This window comes from Homo sapiens, chromosome 2 (genome assembly GCF_000001405.40).
Source record: "Homo sapiens chromosome 2, GRCh38.p14 Primary Assembly".
NCBI classification, from domain to species: Eukaryota; Metazoa; Chordata; class Mammalia; order Primates; family Hominidae; genus Homo; species Homo sapiens.
Genome location: NC_000002.12, coordinates 176404834 through 176406742, shown reverse-complemented (window position 1 = coordinate 176406742; position 1909 = coordinate 176404834). Strand labels below are relative to the sequence as shown.

Here is a 1909-nt window from a genome sequence, read left to right as displayed (position 1 = left end):
ATGAAGGCCAAAAAGCTCTGAGATTCTGCCCTAAATTCTGATCCCATATATTCCCAGAGAAGTGCTAATTCAACCCCATTTGCCATTTCCTAATTGAATTTCTCATTTCCCAAATAACTGGTAGTTTGATAGTTTGCAGAGGTTTATTGTTGTTGGAATAACTGAACAAATTACTTGTTCAGGAATTCTGGAAAGACTGAAAATGTATTAGCAAATTATAATGATTGTTGTTTGTTCTTCCTTGGTTTTTAAACTTCTTGTTTTTAGTGATGAAACCGTAGGCATTCACCAAGGAAAAAGGGAAGGAACAGGGAAAGAAGCTGGGAAGTGGTAACAGGATATTGAGACTTTATTGGGGTCAGTACATTCTATAACGTTGAGTTGGCAATGTTTAGAAAGTTTCTTGGTGTCTTACATTATATAAGCCTTTATGGAAAACACAGCCTTTTAATAATCATAGTAACCAGAGACATATTTTGAATAACTAAAGTTTAAGTGTTACAGACAGTTTTGGCACTCAGTTTTAAACATTTTATCTAATTGTACAAATATTTTAAAAATACATGCTGAATGATAATTCCCACGTGGGACTGGGGTAACCCTGCAATATCCTCTTCTTTGGAAATGATATATTTTGATAAGAAGATAAATTAGTCCTTCTTTCTCATGGATAACTATCATGTAAAATATTGGAGGAGGTTTTCTTACTTGTTAAGGAGAATTTGGAAACCTGCTATTTGCTTAAAACTCTGCAAGAAGCCATATTCACATATGCATCCTGCCTTTCAGATGCTTACTGTCTAGGGAAGGAGGCAGACATACAAACATGAGACATATTTTACAGGAAAAATTGATCGAACTTTAAATCAGAGTATCAGGGGGCAGGTAAAGGAGATCCATGAATCTGGCTTAGAGATTAGAAGTGTCCCTGACAGAAACTAGAATGATAGGTGAGAAAAGGAGAAGTGAGTTGTGAGTGGGAAGATGATTGACTTGGCTCTGGCCCAGTGAGTGGAAGATGGCCGTGAGGCATGGAATAGCACAAGTCAGCGTAAAATTAAGTGTGAAATGAACAATTAGTACCAGAGGAACTGAAAGGAGGAAACTAAACAGACTAGTCAGTGAAGGAATGAATAGTGACTCAAAGCTTCACGAAGGAGTTATGACTTGTATTGAACCTTAAAGAAAGATGAATTTGTTGAAGGTGAAGTAGAGTCGGGTAATGGAGGGCTTTGAAAGTCTAGTAGGCATGGTAGATTTGAATGGGGAGGAAGTAGACACTGAGGTTTCTAGGAGGGAGGTGATGAAAACAGTGTGTAGGAAATTTTGAAGCAGGGAAAGTCTCTGTTCAAGGCTTGCAGAGTTAAAATCTCTGTTGGAAGTAATTAGAAAAAAAAACATGAAAAGGACAGAACAAATAAAAGACATACTTTTTTTTTCTTTGAGACAGGGTCTCACTCTGTTGCCCAGGCTGGATTGCAGTGGCACGACCTCAGCTCACTGCAACCTCGGCCTCCTGGGTTCCAGCAATTCTCCCACCTCAGCCTCCTGAGTAGCTGGGACTACAAGCATGCGTTATCACATGTGGCTAATTTTTGTGGTTTTCGTAGAGACGGGATTTCACCATTTTGGCCAGGCTGCTCTCAAACTCCTGACATTGAGTTATCTGCCCACCTCAGCCTCCCAAAGTGCTGGGTTTACAGGCATGTGCCACCGCGCCCAGCCAAGACATACTTTAAAGGGAAAATAGGTAAAAGTTAGAATTGGAATATCAGGACACTGGAAAAGGTGATAAATGAATCTGACAGGGAGAATGGTAGTGCTATTGAAAATAACCAGAAATAGAGGTAGGGAAAAAAGGAAGAATTGTGAATAGAAAATTGGTGAAGTTGGTTTTAGACATTGACAT

The 1909-nt window shown here is 39.1% G+C and overlaps 1 annotated feature.

Moving 5' to 3' along the window:
- Positions 1047-1096: a silencer, noted in NCBI's record as "silent region_12136". NCBI's record gives its function as "represses an Ori minimal core promoter by ATAC-STARR-seq in GM12878 lymphoblastoid cells {active_cell/tissue: GM12878}" and the evidence as "EXISTENCE:reporter gene assay evidence [ECO:0000049][PMID:35858748]".